At 34.8% G+C, this 26,287-nt stretch overlaps 1 pseudogene, besides 1 other annotated feature; it reads right to left on the bottom strand.

Annotated features, from left to right (window-relative positions):
- Positions 8,809-9,387: an enhancer, noted in NCBI's record as "OCT4-NANOG hESC enhancer chr3:77844088-77844666 (GRCh37/hg19 assembly coordinates)". NCBI's record gives its function as "activates a minimal SCP1, AML or CMV promoter by ChIP-STARR-seq in naive H9 embryonic stem cells {active_cell/tissue: H9 hESC(naive)}" and the evidence as "EXISTENCE:reporter gene assay evidence [ECO:0000049][PMID:30033119]".
- On the bottom strand, positions 25,613-25,716 carry RNU6-217P (RNA, U6 small nuclear 217, pseudogene; annotated as a pseudogene).

Here is a 26,287-nt window from a genome sequence, read left to right on the forward strand (position 1 = left end):
GTAGGGGAAAAAGATCACTTGGCAAATATGTTTTTGGTTTTGAAAAACTTCCAAATGTTTAAAAAGTACTTTTCAAATCAACCATAGCCATATGCATCCAGGTTTTCTCATCCTCACTATTGAAGGATAAAAAGAACTAGAATTAAGGCAAAATAAATGGAGATGTGATACATATGCTGTAAAACTAAAAATCAGTTGATTCTCTAGGGAATTAGATAAAAAAATAAATTTGGTCCTTATGGCAATTTAACCCAAAGAATCTAACACTTTTATTCTTAGCGACTTAGGATCATGGATGATATTAATCTGTCACAAAATGATCCTATGACTATTTCCAGAAGTGGAAAAGTGCAGAAATAGAAAATGCATATGATACTGCTATTTTATTTTGTTCCAAGTCTTGTTACTATCAGTGGAAAACAGTGTTCCAAAGGAATGAACATTTGGATAAATTATGGCATGAAATATAATTTTTAATCCCTTATGCATAGATACATTGATAATAACTGAACATCTTTGGCATCTGGCTTCCAGATACAGTGACAATTCCCTCACGGCATCTAGAAATTAAATAGATGTATATGAAAACTTTTTTTCCAAAAAATATAAAAACATTAAATGTCAATTATTTTGAAATAAGTTTTTTTTTAAATAAGAAGCATTTTTAACTAAAAATTACAAAATAGAGCGTTATATTTGGACAATTAGTTACTCAGTGTTTTTTCCAAATAACAGATGAAATACATTTTGATGTTTTGTTTTAAATAAATGCAAACATATAGATGCAAAACAAATCAAACATTGCTACAAACAAAATATGTGTGTTGTCTATAATTCTCAAACATTGAATAATATTCAGTGAACTTCAACAAATGCATTTGATGGCCCGTTAAAATTCATTATAATAAATTTTGACTTAGATTCCAAAATGAACACACTATTTTCTTATCTTTTAGTGTCTGTTGGTTTTTTCTATTTTCTTTCTTTCTTTTCTTTTCTTTTTTTTTTTTCTGAGGTGGAATCTCACTCTGTCACCCAGGCTGGAGTGCAGTGGTGCTATCTCAGCTTACTGCAACCTCCGCCTTCCAGGTTCAAGCTATTGTCTCGCCTCAGCTTCCCGAGTAGCTGAGGTTACAGGTGCGTACCACCATGCTCAGCTAATTTTTGTGTTTTTAGTAGAGATGGGGTTTCACCATGTTGGCCAGGCTGGTCTCGAACTGCTGACCTCAGGCAATCCACCTGCTTTGGCCTCCCGAAGTGCTGGGATTACAGGCATGAACCACTGCACCCAGCTGTTTTTTTTTTTTTTTTTTTTTCTATTTTCATTACTAAGACTAAATAATAGTTATGTGACTGAATACAGGTGATCATTTTACCAACTCTTTTTGGCATTTTTTTGTCATTTTTGATGAAGCACAATTTTTAGAAGTGAATAAATATAGATCCTATAGCACATATATTTCCCCAAATATATTATGTGTGTATGTGTGTGTGTGTGCGCGTGTGTGTGTTTGTGTATTTGGGAAATAAAAGCGTATTATATTTTACTCAAACAACATCAAACATGCGGTCAGGTAAGTTTGATGAGGAAGGTAATATTTTAGCCTAAGAATGAGAATTCTGTAAGACAATGTGTTACTTGCTAGTATCAGTTATATGACCCTTCCACACTGATATTTTGGGTGCAATTGCACGCTCTTTGCCCTATACTCTGAGGAGAATAGAAGGTTCTTCTTCACACTTTTCTATTCATCATAACTTCTCCTGTAGGACAACCCAAAAATAAATTTCCTGGAATATATTAAGGAAACAAAAACAAACAGATATAGAGAAAAAAATAAGGTAAGTGTTTGGGAGGGTGAGAAATCAAATTCAGTGAGGTTTAACCTATATCCTACAAGTACCCCAAAGTTGTGCTTTTGGATAAATTCACCTTGGATAGAGACATGGTCAAGTGATATATTCCCTTTACCTTTTCTAAAAAACAATACATAGCTCTATCCTTGGATGAGAGGCAAAGGGTGCAGTAGGGTGACTATCTTTGATTTCTGTTGGGGTTCAGAGGAAGTGTAACTTTCCTAAAAGATACCTTGACTTTTGTCACATTTAGCTATTCACTCCTTTTTATTTAGGAAGAAAGCCTGAGCCTGCTGTGGCTCGTGCTCTTATTACCTTTTCTTGGACTTCTTGGATCTCATAAATGATAACTCTACTTTTAGTGTTGCCTTCTCCAAAGGAATCTAAATACCAGCATTACCTTCATTATCCTGAAGCATGACTCTCTGCCTTAGAAAACCCCTATAGTTTACATTTACATTTACTTTATACCTCTCTTAATTTTTGAGGAATGCCTCTCTATCTATTCTGCATGGTAAAGTTCTAATTTATTACAACTATGAAACAGATATTTCCTTCTTTTCTTATTTTTTATATATTGAATTACTTTATTATTGCCAATCACAATCTGCTTTGCCAAATTATTCAATATAAGCTTGCCTCTTCAATTAGACTTTGGAATTCCTGAGATAAGAAATTATGTTTCATTCTGAAGGTGTGCTTAAATCAGTGGAAAGATGGTTTGTCCAAACAGGATATAGAGGAATAGAGTTATTCTGTACACAGCCACCTGTAGTTGCAACAGTGGCTAGAAATAGGTGTTATACTACTTTTTTAAAGACATGACCTCATCAGGCAAATTCTAAAAACTCGTCTACCCTTTGTGGTTAAAAAGTGAATTGCCAGTAATTTTATAAAATGTAATATAAAAATACGTTTTTAAAAAACAATTTAATGATTTTGAATACTTTCAGCCAAAATCATAATGTTCCCTAATTCTTGTGAAATAGGGCTAAATACGAAGACTTTGAAGAATATCTCATGCTGTCATCTCTTCTTTGCTGTAGTGTTTAAAATGTCTCTCTGAGAAATGAATGGACAAACCCAAGCCATGCCATCACATACTTTCCTAGAACAGTGGATCAAATCCCATTTTTCTCAATATGAACGAAGTTTCATCACATGGCAATGACCAAAGCTGCTCTTTAAACTGTAAGGCAGCAAAGTTCAAGCATTACCTTGTACAATCAACCATTTATAGTGCCATTCTCTCACTTTTATTATAGAAGTTACTGAAATGAGAGAATCTAAATCTTATAACTGAGATGGGCTAGGGATAAAGGGTGGAGATTAGGTTTGGTCATGGTGGGCACAGGGACGGGAGCAAAGAGGAACCCAAAAACAATTATTCTTTCTTTCTATATTAAATTTAAAATAAGTCGTTTTAATTGTACAATTGAGGTTGGATTTTCACTGAAAATGAAATATTTCAGTTATGAGTTCAATTTATTAAGAAAAAATACTTTTAAAAACCTAGTGGCCATCTTTTTCCATTCTATATCTATCTATCTATCTATCTATCTATCTATCTATCTATCTATCTATCTATCTATCTATCATCTATCTATCTATCTACCTTTGTCTATCATCTATCTATCTATCTATCATCTATCTAGAGGTCATGTCTATTTTTACTTTAAAAAGGAAAAAGAAAATAGGGACACTGATATTCATTCCTTAAACTCTGCTGACTTAGTGGAGACACTGCAATATATAGTCTATGAACTGAGAGCCCTTTCAGAAGCCAACGAGCTTTATAGGCGCTGACATTGACACTCCACTCTGCAATTCTGCACTTCACTATGTGGGCATTCTGTGCTGGTTACATATATACATATACATATATGTATATATAATATATCTTAAATGTATATATATATTCTGTTATTTTTATTTCTAAATGTTCAGTTTCTTTTCTAGAAGAAGATATGTGCTGCCTCAAATTTATTAATTTATGGTCTGAAAATTGTCCCTGACCTTCCTCTGGATGTTCTGAATGCAGTATACATAATGTTTAAAAACACATGGGCTCAAGCATGGCAAATGAAACCATGCAGTAATTTGTTAATTACAGGTGAAACTGGCCACTCACCTCTTTTACTAAAAGAACAAATGATAGTGACTAATTGCACTTCTGAGAACTCTAAAAGAACAAATTGTTACCAAGTTATGGAGTATATATCCACGTTTGTTGGATATGCAGAGTCTCGTGTGGAAAGAAAAGTCACGGTAACATGGATTTTGTATATATCCACATATCCACATATTACCTAGTTCTGCCTGCTGAGAGAAACTGGAAACAGTGACATCCCAATGGAAATGATAGACATGATACCAGGGCTGGGACAGGGAACATACAAGATGAGCCTGGCATAGCCTATTATGCCAGAAAGCAATGACATGCTCAAAGGATTATGGAAACACCAAAACTGTACAACGGCCAACCTGAAGCGTTCTCATTGAAGAAATATGCAACACAGTAGGTATCAAAACAAATAATGTTACTAATAGATTATAGCCCAATGACTATATGAGTAAACTACAAATCCATACTGATACATTAAATAAATGAACTAATTGAAAACTTTGATAAAGAATATGAATATAAGATATTTGCATAGTTTCACAATAACCCTCTCCCAAAACTCTTACCAATGACACAGAAAAAGGATGTGCAGTTTTATAGTGGAGAAGCTGGCAGATGTCATCTTAAACAAGTGAACAAAGTTTATCTTTAGCAACAAGGGGGAAAATTGAAATCAGATGACATCTGATGGAATGTAATGAAAAGAAAATAGCATCATTTCTATGATATTGCTGCACATAACATGATTTTTGAAAATGAAAATTACACTAGACACACCCAAAAGAGGAACATTGTGCAAAATAACTGGTCTGTAAACTTCAAAGGTATCAAAGTAAGAAATTAAATAAAAATAAATAGGTTGTTCCAGGCCGAAGGAAGCAGCATAAGACAACCAAATGCAGTGCCTGACTCTGAAATAGATATGTTGCCTGCAAAGACATTTTTAGGGCCATAGATCAGAAAATAAAGTGATTTTTACTGTACTTTTAGTTTTTCTATAAGTTTGAGATCATATAAGTCTCTTCTCATTTAACTGCCTTCCTTTTCTTTCTTTCTTTCTTCTTTCTTTTTCTTTCTTCTTTCTTTCCTTTCTTCTTTCTTTCTTCTTTCTGTCTTTCCTTTCTTCTTTCTTTCTTTCTCTTTCTTTCTTCTTTTTTTCTTCTTTCTCTTTCTTTTCTTTCTTCTTTCTTTCTCTTTCTTTCTCTCTCTCTCTCTCTGTCTCTCTCTCTCTCTCTTTCTTTCTTTGTTTTTTTCTTTCTTTCTTACAGGATCTTGCTCTGATGCCCAGGCTGGAAGTAGCACAATTATGATTTACTGCATCCTCGACCTCCCTGGGCTCAGGTGAACCTCCCACCTCAGCCTCCTGAGTAGCTGGGACTACAGGAATGCGCTATCATGCCTAGCTAATACACGTATTTTTTATAGAGACAGAGCTTCCTCCTGTTGCCCAAGCTGGTCTTGAACACCTGGGCCCAAGCTATCTGCCCACCTTAGCCTCCCAAAGTGCTGAGATTTCAAGCATGAGCCACCATGCTTAGCTTCTTTCCCTATTTCTTGACATTTAAAATGAGTGAGCAAATGTTAAAGTATTGATTATCTTGTCACTTGAACACATTAAATGTTTTAAGATATAATAAAATAATGCAGTATTATTTTATTTTACTTGAGGAAATGGAAATGTAAGTCTAGTTAGAAGATATAGAGCCTTTTTGGCTTAACTCTTACAATTTTATTTTTCAGTTTTAGAAATGGCATTATTCTAAAATTTAAAAATTATTAGTTTTGACTAAGTCAAGTAAGTAATGCAGTTTTTAATTTATTAAGGCTTTGTTATATTTGCATATAAGCTGAAGATTAATATTTTATTCATTAAAGAAATACTGACTGAGGGCTCGTTTGGTTCCAGGCAATGGGTCATAACATTTAGCAAAACGGATCCAAATATCTAACCTCATGAAGCTCTCACATTCTAGTGGGGAAGAAAGAAAATAAATAAGTTAGTTACATGTTTCAAATATATGCACAATGGAGGAAATTTAAACAAAGAAGGAGAAAGAGAGTGGGAGCCTCTGCACCTTTCAATAAAGTAGTGAGGAAAGATATTGCTGAAAGGGGGACATTCAGCAAAGACCTGTGGAAGGTGGCAAACTGTGCCATACACGTTCTTAAAGCCCAAGAGGAAGTACTGTTCGGTTTTAGTTAACATGATATGGTTTAACATGTTTCTGATTCAGGTGAATTTTCCAATGTGGAAGAGACTGTTGATTGGATTGTTCCATATATATAATAAGGAAACAAATGTCTGCTTCGGGGTTGAGCAACATTTTGAAAAATCACAGACAAAGACTTCATTTGGGTATAATAGATGTAAAAACCCTGCATAGGACAAAAGCATATGCAAAAGTCAGGGGAAAAGTTGGGGAGCAGCTTGTTACCATAGAAAAGGGAAAGCCTGAGAGAAACAACAGGAAGAAATGAAGAAAGAAAGGAAAACAGGGAAAGAGAGAAAGAGAAATTGCAAAAGAGAGAAAAGAAAGAAAGGGCAGGGAAGGAGAGAATCAATAGATCAAAAGAAAGAAAAGCCTAGAGCAGAGTTAGGGAAACTTTTCTCCAAATGACCAGATAGTAAATATTTTATGCTTTATGAACCAAAAGGGAGCTCTGTCAAACTGCTCAGCTCTGCCTTTGTAGTGTGAAAGCAGCCACAAGAAATACATAAATTAGTGTGACAATGTTCCCATAAAACTTTATTCATAAGCATTAACATTTAAGTTTTGTATGTCACAAAACATGTCACAAAATACTTTTTTCTTTTTACTTTTTTTAGCTATTGAAAATGAGAAAAACAAACATCCTCAGATGACAACTCTACAAAACGGGCCATAGTGTGCCACTCCCAGATGTAGGGACACAGAGACAAGTCGCATGAGTCAGTTTGATGCAGTGAGAGGTAGAAAGGAATCAGGTCAAGTATCTTGGCTTGACAATTGGTGGGTTCTTCCACTTCTCAAAGCTTCACTGTTTTAACCAATGAAGTGAGAATGTTACAATAAATGAACATCAAATTCTCTTCTTACATCAAATTCTCTTCTTACAGTCACTTTTATTTACTTTATTACTGTTCACTGTTTTAGTTCAATTATTTGCAATAATCTTAGACAAAATATGTTTCTCCCTGTGGGTGCTGAAGTTACTTATTTTAGGCCCTTTAGGACATTAGTGCCACTGTGATTTCAGTGATACTGTCCCAGAAAGACCCTGAAAAGAGTGAGCTCAAGTGCAATGAGGTAAGGTCGCAATATGGCCTGGCAAGATGCCAGCAGTTTGTTTCTAAGTAAGAGCCATTCCTAAGTGGTGGGTGAAAATTCTCACCCATAACAGTTTATCTCATTCATTCTAGTTTAGACATCTTTAAGGGGCCAGGTGCACTGAGGTCTGGCTTTGAAATGGTGAACACGTGTTCCCTGTTGAAACAGCCCTTGCCGCACTGCTTCAGGGCAATGGGGGTATAGACTCTGACTTCCTATTTAACTATTTTTGGTATGGTTTCAAATTTATATATTTAATAAGGAAATATCTGGGATATTTCCTATGTTTCAGGATTTAATGTTTGTGAGGTCTAATATAATTATTAATGCTAATTCTAGGAAAGATATGGCATCTTCTGGTAGCAAACAAAAAATATATTCAACTTATTTAGATTGTGTTTCTAAAGATGGCCACAATAATATCTCTCATTCCACTCCCACATCAAGCTTTAGGATCTATTATCCCACTCCTCTTGAATCTGGGCTTACTAGTGACTGGCTTTCACCAGTAGAATGCGGCGGAAATGACACTGTGTAACCCCTGAGGCCAAGTCTTATCTGCAGCTTGCAATTCAGTTTTCTTGGAGTTCTCTACCATCTTCTACTGGAGAGGCATAGAGAGTAAGAGGCCCAGCTAGCCCTGAGCTGTTCTAGCCATTCAAGCTGAGAAACCACAGAGGTGGCTGAATTCATTCACCAGTCAGCCCTGTATTCCAACTGAACCTGACGTCCAGCTGGTAACCCAGCCGAATGCAGCCAAATAAGTAAGGAAATACGACAAGGAATGGAGGAAATGCTCAGGCAAGCACACCCACCCCCTAAATTCCTGACCCACAGAATCTTAAGCAAACGAAATGGTTCTGGTTTAAAGCCATCAAATGGTAGGTTAGTCTGTTGAGCCACAATAGATAACAAAAACAAACATGACACTAATTAAATTCAGAATGATCAATTATACCACATGTACTTTAGGTAATCTATGCATGGCTTATCATCAACTAGCTGCGCTATGGTAAACCGTGCTGAAATCTGTAATGTTCACACTATATGCCTTCCTTATTTTTAACATTCATTGTTCTTTAGATCACCTTTCTTGCAGGCTAATCTAATTTATTCAAAGTAAAATGTAATTAATAATGAAGTAGCATATATAAAATTTAAAATTATCTACAATAAATTTAACATGAATTAATTCTGGTATATAATTATTAGAATTAGCCATTTGATCATAATGCCAATAAAAATTCAATTCTGTTGTTCTGTGGAATGTAGTGTTCACTTCTCTAAATAAATATTTTTTAAAATAACTAGTGCATTAGGGAAAGATGAAAAATTAATTCATATGCTGTTAATATTAAAATATTTTTCTTCTTAATGTGGAAGTGAAGTTGCACTACATAAAACTACTTGTAATGGCATGATACATCTGATATTTATTTTAATCATAGGTTATTTGAGGTTGGCCTAATGTTTTCTTGATGCTCCTTTTTTAAGACAAAATGAGAGTGTAACTACTTAAATGGTAACACAAATTGATGTTAATAAATTAGTACATTCATAAAAGAACTCCCAATTTTACTGTGTAAAGCAAAGCAATGTATGCAGCATTATGTAGTTTAAAAGGCACACTGATAAGTGCCTATATTCAAATCCTTTTCGGTGCCCTTTGTGTTCTTATCTTCCCCAGGCCAGCAGACAATCCTGCTTTTCACTAACCTTTGGCACGCCACCATCAGCAGTAACCTGTGTGCTCCTTCAGAGTCCCTGAGCTTCCTTAATTAGCATAACCTGTGGTTTTCCATTTGGAGCAGCCCCATCAGCCGCACACACCTGCTTTAGAGCCTGCAGGTAGAACAAGACTCAGTGTCGCAGGGCTCCCGGGAGTCCATCTGCATACCCTAAAGCAGCAAGTAAATACCTATCATCTCCAACAAGCTTACTGCAGCCCCTAACCCTGGTCATTGTGCCTCTGTAAGGTGGAAGTGAAATGCTACACCAGAAACTAAACAGAGCCACCATATAGTGACCCAAAAAATTAAGCAAAAACGTTTCTTTCATTTTCAAAATAAAAATATTTGATTTTGCTCAACAAATTATCTTTCTACCCTTTCAAGATAAAATATACTTATTTTTATATTGAGGTTTGTACTAAACCTTTTCACAAGCCACAGAAGTGGTAAACATTTTAATTTTTTGTCATAGTATATTTTAAGCACAAATTTTGAAGTACATCTTCAAACTCTACAAGGTGATGTTTTCTCTTAAAATGCTGTAATGGTAAAAAGCATTTCATGTGCAAGTTAGGAGGGTAAAATTGACACACATTTAAAATTAAAAAAATTTATAGCAATGAATCATACAAAGGTATAATGAATGTCTGTTACTGAACGATGGATGAAACATCGGTAGTTAAACCAAAGGAATTTTAAAAAGCTTAATTTGAGTTCTTCTCATGAACTCACACTTTTCTTTTTTATGCCTTTTTTCTTTGCCAAGAAGAATTTAGCTGTGACACATAATGGGTATATTTTGTTAAAGCTAAGTTCTTTCAATGTCAAGCTATTATATCTTCTACATACAGAGAAGAGTTGGTGCCAAGATTTCTAACAAGTAGGTACACATTCGTCTTCAAACAGAAAGGCACTAAAAAGCTTTGTGCTGGTAGATTGATGTGTTGAAAGATATGCAATGAAATTCTGACTCTATTAGACTAACGGCTGTTTTTAATTGGAAAAAAGCCTATAGATTAACACTCATGCTAAAAACAAAAGGCTTTGATCTCCTTGCCCATTTTGTAGTAAGCAGCACGTATATTTAACATATAATAATTTCAAAACAGGGCAAGAACATTGCCTTAATTATTCTAGGTGTCGCCAAACAGACTAATTATATATGTTGTTTATATATTTTAAGTAAAATTTTAGAAAAAAGGAAATAAAATTTTACTGTTAAATGACTTCCATTTGCAATAAGAATGTCTTATATATGTAAGAAAGGACTAGCCACCATAATTTAATTCTTATTAAGTTTCGATTTCCCATTTCATGCTCCAAATGCATGAATCATACACTTTTCATCTTACATATGAGCAACTGAGGACCTGGATGTATCTTTCTTGGGTTGTACTGTTATTAATGATTAAACCTTAGTTCCCTGATTCTCAGTCTAATACTGTTTCCACTACATAGGTCACCTTCCTTCACTGACTTTGAGTCTCTGAATGTAAAATGACAAGATGTATTTTAATAACTAACGGTCTAAATTAAAACTCAAGAACTCCTTATGCTTTTTTTTTTTTGAGATGAAGTTTCGCCCTTGTTACCCAGGCTGGAGTGCAATGGCGCGATCTTGGCTCACTGCATGCTCTGCCCCCCGAATTTAAGTGATTCTCCTGCCTCAGCCTTCCAAATAGCTGGGATTACAGGCGTGTGCCGCCACGCCTGGTTAATGTTGTATTTTTAGTAGAGACAGGGTTTCACCATGTTGGTCAGGCTGGTCTCGAACTCCTGACTTCGAATGATCTACCTGCTTAGGCCTCCCAAAGTGATGAGATGATAGGCGTGAGCCATTGCGCCCGGCCTACTTTTACAATTTGTAATGAGATGCATTTCTTTTAGAAAGTGGTCTGAAAACAACCCAGAGTTCTGGATTACAGAGCGGAGCCTATGCTCTTGTAGTTGTAAGGGAGTCAGAATACATTCGACATACGTCTTAGTCGCCAGGAGTCACCAACCGATTTAGAAGTTTTTCAGATAAAGAAAGGGACAACTCAGACAAAATGCTAATTCTATAAATCAGCAGAAGGGAAAGGACATAAAATATATAAACAGAAGCTTGTTCAGGTCATGGCATTGCATTGTAGCAAAACACTGACAATAATGCTTAAAATATAAGATCAAAGATGCTTAGTTATACGTATGAATGCAACATTAAGGTAGCATTTTTCAAAATACACTATGCAGAATGTAAGTTCCTCATTATATTAAAAGATTTTCAGTGAAAACAAAAGTGCCCAGTTCAAATATACAAAATGATAAGACTGGATTAAAAAAAAAGGTGGTACGTGCACACCCTGGAATGCTATGTCGCCATAAAAAAGAATGAGATCATGTCCTTTGCAGGCACTTGAAAGGAGCTGGAGGTCACCTTTAGCAAACGAATGCAGGAACAAAAACACAAATACCAAATGTTCTCACTTGTAAGTGGCAGCTAAATGATGAGAACACTTTGACACATGAAAGGGAACGACACACACTCAGGGCTATTGGAGGCTGGAGGGTGGGAAGAGGTAGAGAATCAGAAAAAAAAACTAATGGGTTGTAGGCTTAATACCTAGATGATGAAATAGTTGGTGCAACAAATCCCCATGACACAAGTTTATCTATGTTACAAACCTGCACATGTGCTCCTGAAATTAAAGTTAAAAAACAAAAAACAGAAACAAAAACAAACATGAAAAAATGGCAATATCCCTTCTTGATATTTGCAATGCCTGTGATCATATGAAAGGTTCTGTGAAGTTGTACAGTTAAGATATTTAACTCTGTTTCACAAGTGTTTCCCAAACTTGCTTGACAGCAAAACCCCATTTTCAAATATTAGCATTTCATAAAACACAATTGGAAATATTGAGTTAGTGTGTAGCTTGTGTTCTGAGAGCTAAGCGGAGTTCTATTATCCATTCTCAAGCAGAAGTTTCAAATCTCTTCTCCGAGAATAAAAAACGTACAAAGTATCATTTATGATTGCCAGTTCATCTTTAGTTTCATTTTTTTTTTTTACTGAGCCAAAAAATAAAAACAAATAAACAACAGGCAAATGATTTAAAAAATATCGAATGTAGCTACTTCAATATGTGAAAGATGAAACTCACATCTTGGTTTCATTCACTTTTAAAGGTCATCTGTCATGAGAACCAATCACTTTATGTAAGATTATAGATTATCTCCCATCCCTAATACACACACCACACACACACTGATAGTCTGTTGTGTGTCTATACAGTATAAATTAAGTATCAGGGCTGTATGCAGTGCCTGAACTGTATGGGCACCTGGAATGTCATTAGACTACTTTTTATGAGTTTTACTTTATTTTCTGTCTCTGCCTCTGTTAGTACGGAAGAGAAAGAGAAGGTTTCTTGCATAAAAGTTAAAAGAAAAAACCATACCAACTAACCAAACACAAACAAAAAATCCCCAGGGCTCCCTGTAGAACACAAATTTTTCATACAAGACAGATAAAGAAGAACCTGGCAAAAAGGATCTGTCAATTTGTTGTAAGAGCTGGCTGAGAAGTTTTTCTTGCTGGTGGCTAGTAATTCAGAGGAATTGCTAACAACTAGTGTTATCCCTTGCTGCTGCGAGGCCTTAGCTACTAAAGTCCTATTAGGACATAAGTGTTAAACCTTATTCTGTGCAGGGCATATTTCTATTAGACCATGTGCGAAAGTGTAAAGCATGGGTAGTTTGCATTTTTCTCTTCTGTACAAGCTGCAGAGGACAGGGGTGGGAGTGAGTATATAGCCCTGCATAGTCTGGAAATTCCAGGCTTCTTTTGTTAACAGATGGTGGAATGGACAGAAGAGCTAAAATTTGCTAGTTATTTTTTAACATACTAATTTAGTCAGTTCAAATTTAATATTGACTTGTGACAAGATATGTGGTGATCTCAGAAATGTGATTTAAGAAATTATCACCAAACAATTTAGCATTACCTCAGTATCGAATTACAAGCTTCAGAGTAAACCAAATCTCAATGATGAAACCATTAATGGTTTCCCTCTGTCCTCAAATATATATACTTACATTCTCAACAATTCACTGGCCATCGAGCTAGGGCTTTGTTTAATGCAAAATCTGGCCATGTGAGAAATACGGGCACTGAAGTGGAAAATATTTTTGCATTCTTCTGTGCCAGCGTTGCCCTTTTCTGTCAAGTTGCACACGCACGTGTCCACAATGGAAGCAATATTTACAAGCTGCAGTTTACATAATTCCAGGGAATGACTGTCTACTCTTCCACTGAAGAGAATTCCCTTGGCACCCCTGCTTGCCATTCAGTCCTGCTGGTTCGTTGGTTCTATTGTGTATCCTGCAGAGTGATACATTGCAGCATCTTTGCCTGTTGTAGCTGAAGTGGAGTCATCCATCATTGCAATCACAGGAACTGAGGACCTTATGGACTGGGAGTAAATTATGAAGCTATGAGGAAGGTGATCATTTTTGCAGAAACAGCTATTTTATGTTCCTGTTTTCTATACTATCCTTTCTTTCTTGTCTGGGATAATGAAAGAGTAAAAGCCTTAGGACCAGTTTTTTCCTTTGGATTCATGCTGAAGGAAGAAAATACAATCAATAAAAATGCACTTAATGAGCCTAAGATTGACTGGTCTTTTTCTGTTTATTTTGAATTTCAGGTGTAATTCTCTGTTGACCTGCTGTTAATGCTATGTAGCTGCGGATTTCCCAGATTTAAGTGTGTTATAAATGGATAAACTTCACCACGTGGGATGATTTAAAGTAACTGATTTGAGATCCAGGCTGGGCATGACAAAGGAAAAGTTGTCAATTACCTTTAGTGAATTTCAGTCATATAGAGTCAAACTAGATAACTCATTCTTTTCTTACCCTTTCATCTCTCCCCTTCTCCTGCAGTGAAAGCATCAATTAATGCCTGAAAATACAATCTGAATTCATAAGTTACTCCAAAATTTGTAATTTTTGCTTTATGTAATTTACGTAAGTCTTTATTGTATCCTAGTGAATTTAGAATCAGTTTAACATTCATAATATGGTAAAATATGGTTAGGTAATTTAAAGAAAAGTGACTTCCCAATACAATTTTAAAAATTAAAATGAAGATTAAATAATACAATTTATATAATGCCAATACATAACCAAGTGGACTGAATAGTTTTTCTTCCGTCAGTGATTCTACAGTTACACAGTTTGTTCTTGTAAAATCTATCAGTACTGATCTGCTTTGTCATTATTATACACTCAATGGCTATGTTCTAATAGATGAGTGTTACACTGTTACGAACACTTACTACTTCTTTCATACAATTTTTATATCTAAGAAGTGATTATTTGCTTTATTAGAGAAGGCTAAATAGCTTCACTTTGAAGACTGACTTTCTTTAACATAAATAATATGATGACTCTTCCATATAGTTACTTTGACATGGCTCTAATAGCAAAATTATGTCACGTATAAATCAACACCTAGTTAATGGAATCTAAATTAATATTTTAAATTCAGAAGGTACATTGTTTTTTACTGACAGTAAGATTTTAAGGCAACATTCTGATTAAATACTGCACACTGGAAAGAGACTAAACCTAGGTTACATCTGGTTGCTGTATATGAAAGATAAATATTTAATGCAAATGAAACTAGCATTTTTGAAACAAATATTTACCTTTTATTTAGATTGACTGCACACATACGTTTTTTGTAGCATAGCTAATGAATGTTTATACAAAGTGCCAACATACACAGTGGTAATAAACTATAATGAAAATAAATGTTGGAAAAGAAATTAAACTTTCTTTGTATGGGGAAAAGTGTTTTTTATATGAAGCATAGCAAAGCAAGCTAATCCTACCATGTTTAAATGCAAATTTTATTGAGATGAATCAAAGGCAATGAAAGGCAGGCATAGTAGTTTTATTCTATTTTAAACTACTTTATTGTCTACAGCTGCTGTTTTTGAAGGACGCCAGTCTCTTATGCTTCATTGGCAGCAGACTGTATCCAGTCAATCTTTTACTAAGGAACAGAAAGTTCACTACCCTGAAGAATCCTTCCATCACTTTGCTTTAACCACTTAGCAAAATAACAAAAGGGTAACTGTGTTAAAAAATTGTATTTCTATATTTTTAGTTAAAAGCTTAAAATTGGGGTGTTTAGAAATGTAGGACTTACAGGAGCACTAACTAAACAAAGATAGTTCTTGAAACTCTCTTACATGTTGCATTTGTCATTTTCAGTTGTGTGAAGGCGACACATCCAAGAGTAGTCTAGATGGAATACTTTTAAAAATTTCTAGAATGAGCCTAAATCAGACGCTAGATAGACCAAGATTCTAGGATTTCACATGTCCTTGCAATGAAATATTGAGACTCCTATTTCAAAGATAGATTTATAGGCGTGTATGTAACCTAGGTTCCTCAAATTTCACACGAATATCCAAAACCAGATTAAATTCATATGGCTTTCTATATGAGACAGAGAAAAGCTTTGGATGTCCCACCTTTGTATGTCTGCTTTTACTAAAAGCTAAGTCACATAATCCAAAGTTTGTGGCCTCTGATGCTTAGCAAGTGTCTTTACTGTTTTTCTGTAAGATAGTTTCCAGATCTACAGCATAATTTAAAAGCAATTTATGTAATTGACAGAGCGAGAGATTCACATGTCATATCTTAAACAGTCATCTGGCTGACACGCACCCTAACATGACTAAACTCTTCCAGTAGTGCATTAATTTGCTGCATGAAGAATTAATAAAATTCATTGTTGAACTAGTTGCAACTAGGGAGGAATGTTAGTTTAATCCTTGGCATATATACATTTCAAATACGTGGACTACAGAGTACTTCACCTTACTTAAATATAGTATAATTAAGTCACTGTTTTTGAGCCTTATCATTCACTTGGAAAATAATTTCCACATATAAACTAACATAGCTAATCAAAATTTATACAAATTTGAGAGAAAATACACATAATGTCCACATCAGAAGCAAACAAAAAAGTACTCAGCATTGTCTGACTCTACTATTTCCTCTTCAGAATTTGGAAGTTTCACTCGGTATGTTTCTATGCTCAGTATCTTTATATCAAAGCACAACTGTTCTGATATAAATGACAGGACCATGCATTGCTCTTCTTCCATCAACTCACTTGAAATTTTCTCACAAAATAGCCTTTAACTGTTACAAAACTTGATTTTTATGTTCCCAAGAGGAATCCCATTTTCTATTTGACGAACATTGGGATTATTGTTTCATAGGAAGGCAATCATTGTGGTGCCTTTCGCACCTGTGACTGATTTTCTCCATTTACATGTTCCTACATATTGTTAATCCTTCCCTTGTGTACTGAAAAGGCATCTGGCATTAGTCAGTAGTGAAGTAAAGATCTTCTGTTTGCTTCAAAGATATGTTTAAGGCCCCATATCTCTGATGTAGAAAATGCATGGTTATTCATTTTTAAAGCCAGTTGTGTAATTTAAGATTGTTTTCTAAAATCGAAACATTAAAATGCAGAAAACCAAAGCTTGAAAAGGGAAATTAACTTTTAGATAGCTGTATAATAGCAAAGGATTTCCACTTTCTGCAAGTTGAAATGATGCTTAATAAAACATAATTTTTGCAAGAATTGGTGTATTTTATCAGATATATACTCTATCCAGCTTGTTTTTGTATTTTATATAATCACCAAAAATATAATTACAAAACCCTTGTCAGAATGGGATTTTTACTGGGATCCTGGACAACAATGACATAAAAATACAATGTCAGAAGTGTAGGAATATCTCTAGGACATCTACAAATGATAAGGAAATTTCCAAATACCCTGTGTCCAGAGGTATGCCCAGAAAAGTCCTCCTTTTGATCTAAGTAACTGACAGTCTTTAGAATCCCAGGTTAAACTTCCCCCTGAATATTTCTTGGACTTTTCATGTAGTCTACTACCTCTAGTACTTTTTATCTGCTTCAACCCTAGTGAAATATTGAATAAACTTGTCTCAAGAATCAGACAAATGATCACCCAGCACTGCCTTAGTTTTAATTTCTGTGCAGTGATTTTTGCAACTTATGGAATTGGAACCAATGTCAAGACTTGGTCAACTGTGGTCATTTATTTACACCAGACAGGGCTAGAAGGCACAGTGAGAACAGCCAATGGATACCCTGAATTTAAAAGCTCAACTAAGAAAATCAGATCTGCAGCCATGAAGAAATCAAGAGTCTTGTTATGATTCAAGATATGGATGGAGTGTCCACAAAATTTAAGCTCTATGAGGGCGGTTCTATGAGTTCATAGAATTTAAGTTCTATGAGAGCAGGTATTTTTGTCTGCTTTATTCACTGCCGTAATTACAGTAGAACATAGTTGGTGCCCGATAGACATTTGTTCAATGAATGGGTGAATCAATATTATATACAACATGAGAACAAAAAACAGAGCAGATAGTAAAACAGAAGATGATAGCCAAGAAGAAAGATCAGGAACTAGAAGTCAAACTAGTTGGTAAAATATAAATCAAGCAAGCAGTCACACAGACAAGAATAAGAAAACCCCAAAATATGAGAGCAAGACAGTCAATGAAGTACTTGAGCATAATAAAGATGACCTTTTTGGGAGTACTTGCTATGTGTAGGTATTGCTCTAAGTATTTTACACATGCTACTTCTTTTTGCCCCTCACATTATCCTACTATCATCATGTTACAGAGAGGAATGTAAGTCACGAGAAGACTCCATCTTGTTTAAGGTCTCTATTTTAGAAAGTGGTAAAAATTGCATTTGAGTCAGAGCTTCTGCCCCTGCTATACTGCCTCCCTTTGGACTCCCTGAATATAATGAATATTAAATGGAGGCTGGCATAGGAAGCAGAGAAATGGATGCACAACAGTAGGAAAAGAACTTGATTTCTAGCCAAACATTGAGGCCAGCCAGGAAAATTAATAAATCGGATTACTGTTTGGGCAGACACGAAACCTAAGGCTTAATAGACCCAGGAATTCTTATTGGAACAACACATTGGAAGCACATGGTAAGATATGGACAGATTATGATAGCAGGTTGTTTTTGTCTTTTATGTCATACTTCAACCACTTTAATTTTCTTAGTCCAGTAAATTCCATTTTGTGACCATGAAACAATTTGTGGATTACCAAAAATCAGTATTTACATTTTAGTTCCTGATCTGTTGGTTGATTAAATATATAAGATAAAACACTCCTAAAAAGAGAGTAATTGTTTTTCTATTCACTTGCATTTTGTACTTTCTAGGAGAATGTGTATAATTTGAAAAAGTAAAACAAACAAACAAAAAACCCATACATTTAAGACATATTATTTACTTGATTAATTGGTCCACTGTTGTGAATTTGGATTGTTGAACCATTGGATGAAATCAGATGGCCACAGAAATGTAATATAAAGAGTTGACTTTAAGCTGTATTAGGATAACTACCACTCATTAAGTTGTCATTTGTTATCTGCTTGTATATTAATTAGCGCAGGTTTTCTCAACCTTGGCACAGTTGATATTCTGGGTAAGGTAATTCTTTGCTGTGGGGGACTGCATTTTAGGATGTTTAGCAGCATCCTGGTTTCTACTCACTAGATGCCAGTAGCAAGCCCTTATAATTATGAGTGAGGTGCTTAGGGCACAGAATTTAATGTTGTCTCGGATTGTACCTTACCTCACTGTGGTCCCATATGTGACAAAAAATGTCAAATGTTCCTTTAAGGGAAAGAAAAATTCTACTCACTGAACCACTAAGTTAGAGGAATACTAATAGTCTTATCAACTACATTACAAAATGTGTAAATGGGATCTATAATATAAAAGCTTATTTCTCATTCATATAATAGTCCAAATATGTATCACTTGCCATGAGAGACTTTTTCAACGTGAACATTCAGAGACCCCGGTTATTTGCACATTGTGCCTCCAATATATATTCTGAGCCTCTTATTTTCTGCTGGTAGAGGGGGAAAGAGATAAATGAAAGACATGATGTTCTGCTGGTCATTGAAAGGGCAAACACATGACTTGAAAGCTGTATCTCAGATGTATCAGACTTTGACTCAAAGTCATTGGCTACAACACAGTCACATGGCTATTCCAAGGAGATCTGCAAAATGTAGTCTAGCTGTGAGCCCAGTATAAAGAAGAAACACATATTTTAATGAACAGTGTGTTCATACACCCTAGAGAGCATAGAAGCAATGTTTGTGTGAATAAAGAGAGACAGAAGGGGAGCGGGAAGAAATATGCCTCCTAAAACTGGAAATGATTCAAAAGCACATTGATAGACAAATGAATAAATAAGTTGGAATGCATTCACCCAATGGAATATATGCAGCCGTAAAAAAAATGACCTATAGCTAAACATGACATCAGGGATGAACCTTTGGAAGCATCAAGACAAACTAGCAAGTCCTGGAAGATCACACTATTATATCTAACTATAAAATTTAAAAACAATCCCAAAATTCTTCAATATACTCTTTAGGCACATGATAAAACTAGAGCAAGAAATTGGTAAACACAGAATGCAGAATAGCAGTTATCTTTTAAAAAAGACACAAGGTGGGGTGGGATAGGACAATGGCACAATGGGAGATGCAAGTTATTGGAAATGGTCTTGTTTGAAGGCTGAGTGATGGGCTTAATGTTATGCTTCATATTATTTTCTTAGTAACTTAAGTGTATTATTGTTTATGCATAAATAATGCATTACAATAGAAAATATTAATACCAAAAGATCAAAACAGAACACATTAGTATTTATTTAGTATGGAGCATCATATATTTTCTGAGAATTTGCCAATGGCAAATTTAACCCAATTGTTAAAGCATTAGAACTTGTACTGCTAGTTATTGTTAAAACCTTCTTAAGACAGGACAAAGCAGTTAATTTCCAGTATGAATTTCTGGTATTATATTTCAGTTTAGCTTTAATCACTGTTATTTTGTGATTTATTTTGATTATGGCGCATTAGTTTTAATATTAAGATTTGTTATCACACTGTTTTGAATAACATGGAGGAAATTGTTTTTCACTCTGTTATGTGCTTGAAAACGTGATTTTATTATTTCAGAGAAGAGTTTTTACCTCGAATATTTTAAAATTTTAATGCTGTCTAAGGCAAGAGAAAAATACAGAAGTATGCTTTATGTTAAACTCTACTAGTATAATATACTTAACTTGATGAGGAACATAAAAAGAAAAAAAACTTTATTGAGTATGCTGTTGAAAATAGCCGATCTATGCACTGAAGAGTTAATTCATATTGGAATGAAAAACCAAGAAATAATCTTTTGGAACGCAAATATAGAGAAATTGCATCAATTTACCAAGATCAATGTTGTTTGTCTGTGGGCCAATTAGTTGACAAACCCTTATTATATTCAAATACCTTCAATTTAGTTACCAAATTAGAATGTGGGCTTGGATGCTGTCTAAGCTGAGGACTTCCTTTCACCTTCTCAGATCCCAGTTTGATGTATTCTTTCATTTTCAATTTGGAATCTATTGCTGATCATAAGTACTGATCACATTCTAGGGCCTCGTGGAAAGAAAAAAAAAGGTGCAAGAAATTCACTTAATCCTTCTTTTTCCTTTTCTCCTCTAATATCATAGGATACAGAATCAGAGAAATGTCTCATAATTTAATTAGCAATTTTATAAGACTGTATTAATGACGTAATATATGAGAGTATTTTAAAAGAGATTTCACATGAAGTAAAAAATACCCACTACATACCCATAAAAATTTAAAACACAGACTTCTATTCCCAGTAACATTTAGTTATCATTTAGGTTTGAGCATTCAAAGACATGCATATTGTTCAAGCATCCTTTTTTTTTTGGTAAAAGTACACACAAAATCTCAAGCAAATAAATTTGCATAGGGATGGTCATGATATTTTGACAAGTTTAGGATGGATAAATATAAAACTGATGCAGAAACTGTGATGCCTGACAGACGTTGGTGTTTGCTTCATTATTGTCATGGAAATTGTGTATAAAAATAAATTTGACAAGCTTTGTTATGTTTGGTGCAATTGAAAAAGTTGTTTGTGTAATTCCTTTGATGATTAACTGACTAGAGTTTTAATGATGCCATTGAAGAGAAAAACAATGAAGCATCATTCCTAGCAACTGGTACCCAGTAGCATAGAAAATGATCCACATTTGGCAAATTTACCTTGAATACAGCTATTGGATGAACATAAAATTTGAAGAGTTGGAAGAAAAATGAGATATGGAGTCTAGCATTTATAATGAATTATCAAATGTGAGTAATTGCACTCAGTTTAACCAAAACACTTAGATTTTTGAAGCTGACTCATCATTTTAATAATTTCCTTTTAAAAGCTGTTTTACGCCTAAAAAAATCCATATAACATCAAAGTGCTTTGAGACACAATCTCTGCTATTTCTTTCGTTAGATACGGAAAAAGTGAAATTTCAAGTAAAATATTCCCTGAAAAAAAAAATCTATTTTTGCATGATATAGTGATTACCACACTATTTATTCTGACTGTCTGAGTTTATGATCTGGCTCTACCTAGTAGCAATTGTGTATTCATAAAGCAGTTTTTGGAGAAAAATTTGGTTCACAGAAGCAACATTTGCCAAAGAGAAAGAGCATGAGATTATAAGCAGGATGGAGGTTAGACAGAAAAGGAAAAATCTTGATTTCACCCTTGCTAATATGCTAGTTGTTCAGGGCTATGACCCGGAGCCCATGACCTGTGAACTTAAACTCAACTGGCATAATTCTCCCTATCAGGGATAACCATGGTATCTGATTTTATCACTTCTACAGGGGAACAATATTACCAATACACACTATTGCTCTCTCTCAAAGAATAGATGGCATTCATAAAACAATTGCCTTTTCCTAGATTTATAAGAAAAGAGAGTACAATAAGGCACTTGTTTGATGTGACTCTCCTTTTTGATTTGCGTCTTCTAAACTTAATTTTGATTTCCCCTCTATGCCTAGTGTTTATTGGAACAACTATGTTCCATTAGGTAGAAAGAAAGATTTTTATATACTGGGATTTACAAACCCTTATATCTTGTTTTATTTATTTTTATTTGTTTAATTAATTAATTTAATTAACCAGAAACACTAAGAGATAGATAACAGCTGGGCATTAAAAAATAAAGTAATACATAAAAATTTCAACTGCACTGGGTGAATTTAAGACTTGGGCAATAGTAAACCAAGCTGTGAGGCATTTTGAATTTTCAGGATCACATTACGCAGTTGTGTCAGGAGACTATTTACTGGTGAGCAGAGACACCAAAAATGTAGGCCTTTTTAGCCTTCTAAAATTTGTGTTTATCATTCTATAGAATTTCAAAATTTTTACTGCATGTGTTTCTATTCTTAAATGTTTTGTTCAGTTTTGCATGTTTTTGAATGCATATAAATGAAATCATACTATAAATATTCTTCAAATACAGGCTTTTTAAATTAATTGTCTCTAAGATTTGACCATATTGTTCCATTTAGCCATTATTCACTGGTTCTCCTTCTAACTCGTATTCAATTTTCTGGATATAACACAATTTATTTATCATTCTTTGTTTATAGATATTTGAATGTGTTCATTTTTTCTTAATGCAAACAGTGTTACTTAAACATTGTCATAGTTTTCTCCTGGTTATATACAGGTAGCTGTTTCTAGTTATATACAGTTACTATGGTCTAATATTTGACCCCAACGCAAAACAAGAAATTCGTTTTACTTGGCAGTCAAATAAACCAAAATTTTCACAAACATCACAAGTAATCCTCATTCAATGCAGTCTCATATTTTTATTCTATTGTATTATATTTATACTCTATACCACGTTATTTTAGGTCGCTAACTTTCTGGTCACTCTCCAAAGGCCACAACCACAAAGCCAAGAGCGTAAAAGTTCTAGTATATTTAACCTGACAAATGAATTCAGTTGAAGGCTGGTTGACTTTTACACCCATCTATTTGAGAGTCCTCTTTTACTGAACATTACTGGACACTAGATTTCCTGCCAGATGGGCATCTTGTAAGTATGCTGCATATATACAAATGTATAGACACATTTTTACACATACACACACAGGATTACTTGTCAATTTCAGCAGGAGTGTAGTATCTAGTCTGCAGTGTGGCTAGAAATGGAAGTCCTCACTTTTTGGAATCTTAGGCAGTGAGACACACATTGGAATTTTGTATTTCCGGAAGTACTAGATGACCTTGTTTTGGAAAAATTTCCCATTAAAAACAAACAGAAAATAGACAAAATATAAAAACATAAAATTGTAGCTATTGGTAGAGATTAGAGATTTACCAAGGCAGCAAGAAATTAGAACACAATCCCACAGAGTAGCAAAGTCCAAGTTCTCAAGGAGAAACTATCTGTAGACATTTGCTACTACTTCCCCTGCCCCTAGTCATTTGCTTACTTAAAAGCAGCAGCTGAAAGGCTGAGAGCAATTCAAATGTAAACATAGGGGTAAATGGAAATGTTTATTGGATGTATAAGGCAATGATAAAAGAAGCATTTTGGCAATACACACATCACATAGTAATAATAGCACAAAAGATGGGAGGAAAAAATGAAATCAAAGTAATACAGTCCTTATGTTTTCTCAGAAGTGGTAATAGCATTAATAATATTAGATTTTAACAGGGCAAAAAACACATTGAAATCATGGGGACAATCCCAAATGGAGATTTAAAGAATATATAGCTTACACGCTAAGTAGGAGAATGGGATTAAGCAATAAAGGGCAGCTACCAAAAAACTACATCAATTATTACAGTTACTGGGAAAATAATAAATTTTTTTTTCCCTGAGAGCTTGGAAATGAATGAGAATATCTTCTATTACTATTTATTTTCCACATCATATTCAACACTATATTAGAAGTTCTAGCCAGTGCAATAAAGAAACAAAAGGTATAAAAATGAAAAGGAAGTAGAGAGCTCATTATCTGTAAGTGACACAACTGTGTAGGTAAAATATGTAAATGAATCTACATATGAACTTAAAATTAATAAGTATATTTAGCAAGGTCAGCGAACTCAAGATCAATATTAATTATACTTCTATATGCCAGCAATAAATAACTAAAATTATGTTTAAAATTTATACCACTTATAAAAGCATAAAAGTTATACATAATACAAGAAACTTAATGAATATCCACCAAAATGACTAAAATTTAAAATACTGGCCAGGCATGGTGGCACACACCTGCAGTCCCAACTACTTGGGAGCCTGAAGTAGGACTGTCACTTCAGCCTGGGAGGTCGAGGCTGCAGTGAACCATGATCGCACCACTGCACTCCAGCCTGGGTGACAGAGCAAGACCTTGTCTCTAAAAAAATAATAAAATAAAATAGGCTGGGAGGGGTGGCTCACGCTTGTAATCCTAGCACTTTGGGAGGCTGAGGCAGGCAGATCACCTGAGGTCAGGAGTTCGAGACCAGCCTAGCCAACCCCGTCTCTACTAAAAATACAAAAATCAGCCAGGCATGGTGGTGCTTGCCTGTAATCCCAGCTACTTGGGAGGCTGAGGCAGGAGAATTGCTTGAACCAGGAGGCGGAGATTGCAGTGAGCGGAGATCGTGCCACTGCACTCCAGCCTGGGTGACAGAGCAAGACTCCGTCTAAAAGAAAAAAAGTAACTAAAATAAAATAAAATAAAATAAAATAAAATAAATACTAACAATTGTAAGTGTTAGAGAGAATGTGGAGCAATCAGAAGTCTTTTAGCCTGTAGCAAACCCACTGTTAGTATACAGGCAAAAGAGAAGCTTATAGTTGCTTGCCAAGGGTTTGCAGCAGCATTATTTGTAATATCCCCAAATTGAAAATAGCCTAAATATCCATCAATAGTAGATGACTGATAATAAACAAATTGTGGCATATTCTAAAATACAACACCAAATAGCAATGAAAATTAACTTACTAGGGCTACCTATGACAATATGTGTGAATCTCACAAAATGTTATTAAAATAACGAGTCCTAACACAGATATAAATTTTTTGATTCCATTTTATAAAAGTTAGCAAAACTTATCTATGTAGATAGGAGTCAAGATAACTGTTAACATGGAGGAGGAAGGCTAGAGATAATAACTGAGTGAGGACATCAGAGTGACTTCTAAGGTCCTAGTAATATTCTATTTCTTAATCTAGGTGGATATGGGAAAGGCTAGAAATGAATTTTTATTAATAATCCTTATTTTTCACCCCTCTCTCTAACTGAGCCCTTTGTCATATGACTTTAGAGTTTCTCTGATAAAGGCAGAATGTAGCTCCTTATATGATGTGTTTTGGTTAACAGAACGAGGCAGAAATTAAGGTATGTCTGTTCAAAGCCTAGGCTTCAAAGGCCCTCATACACTTTTTAAAAATATTTCATTTTAAATTTTTGTGGGTATATAATAGATGTTTAAATATCTCATGAGGTACGTGAGATACATTGATAGAGGCAGGCAATGTATAATAATCACATCATGGGAAACGGGGTATCCATTTCCTTAAGCATTTATCCTTTGTGTTAGAGAAATCTGCAATGCTTCACGAATTTGTGTGTCATCCTTGCGCAGAGGCTATGCTAATCTCCATATCATTTCAATTTTAGTGTATGTGCTGCTGAAGTCAGCACCCTCATGCATTTCTATTTGCTTTTTAGCATTTCTCCAATCACTATGAGTAGAACATGTCTGTGTTAGCCTCCCAAAAGGAAGATGGATGGGCTGTAGAGGAGAGACGTACCAGATGTCTTACTTTGTGTTGTTATAACAAAATACTTTAGGTAATTTATAGAGAACAGAAATGTACTTTTAGTGGAGGCTGGAACCCATGATCAAGGCACCAGCAGGTTCAGCTCTAGTAAGGGCCTAATCTCTGCTTCCAAGTTTGTGCCTTGTTCCTGCATCCTCTGAAGAAGAGGAATGCTGTATCCTCGGCAAGTAAAAGAGGTAGAAGGCATGGAAGGGCAAAAGAGAGAGGGGCAAACTCCCTCCATTGAGTCCTTTCATAATGACATTAATCCATTCATGAGGACAGAACTCTCATGACCTAAATACCTCCCCAAAGACCCATCCTCCCAACATTTGCATTGGGGATTATGTTTCCAACACACGAAGTTTAGGGAATACATTCAGACCATAATACCAGGTAAGCTGCCCCAGCCAAATGCAGCCTAAAGTGAGTCCCTGTTGGTATTTGCAAAT

Source organism: Homo sapiens, chromosome 3, assembly GCF_000001405.40.
Source record: "Homo sapiens chromosome 3, GRCh38.p14 Primary Assembly".
NCBI lineage: Eukaryota > Metazoa > Chordata > Mammalia > Primates > Hominidae > Homo > Homo sapiens.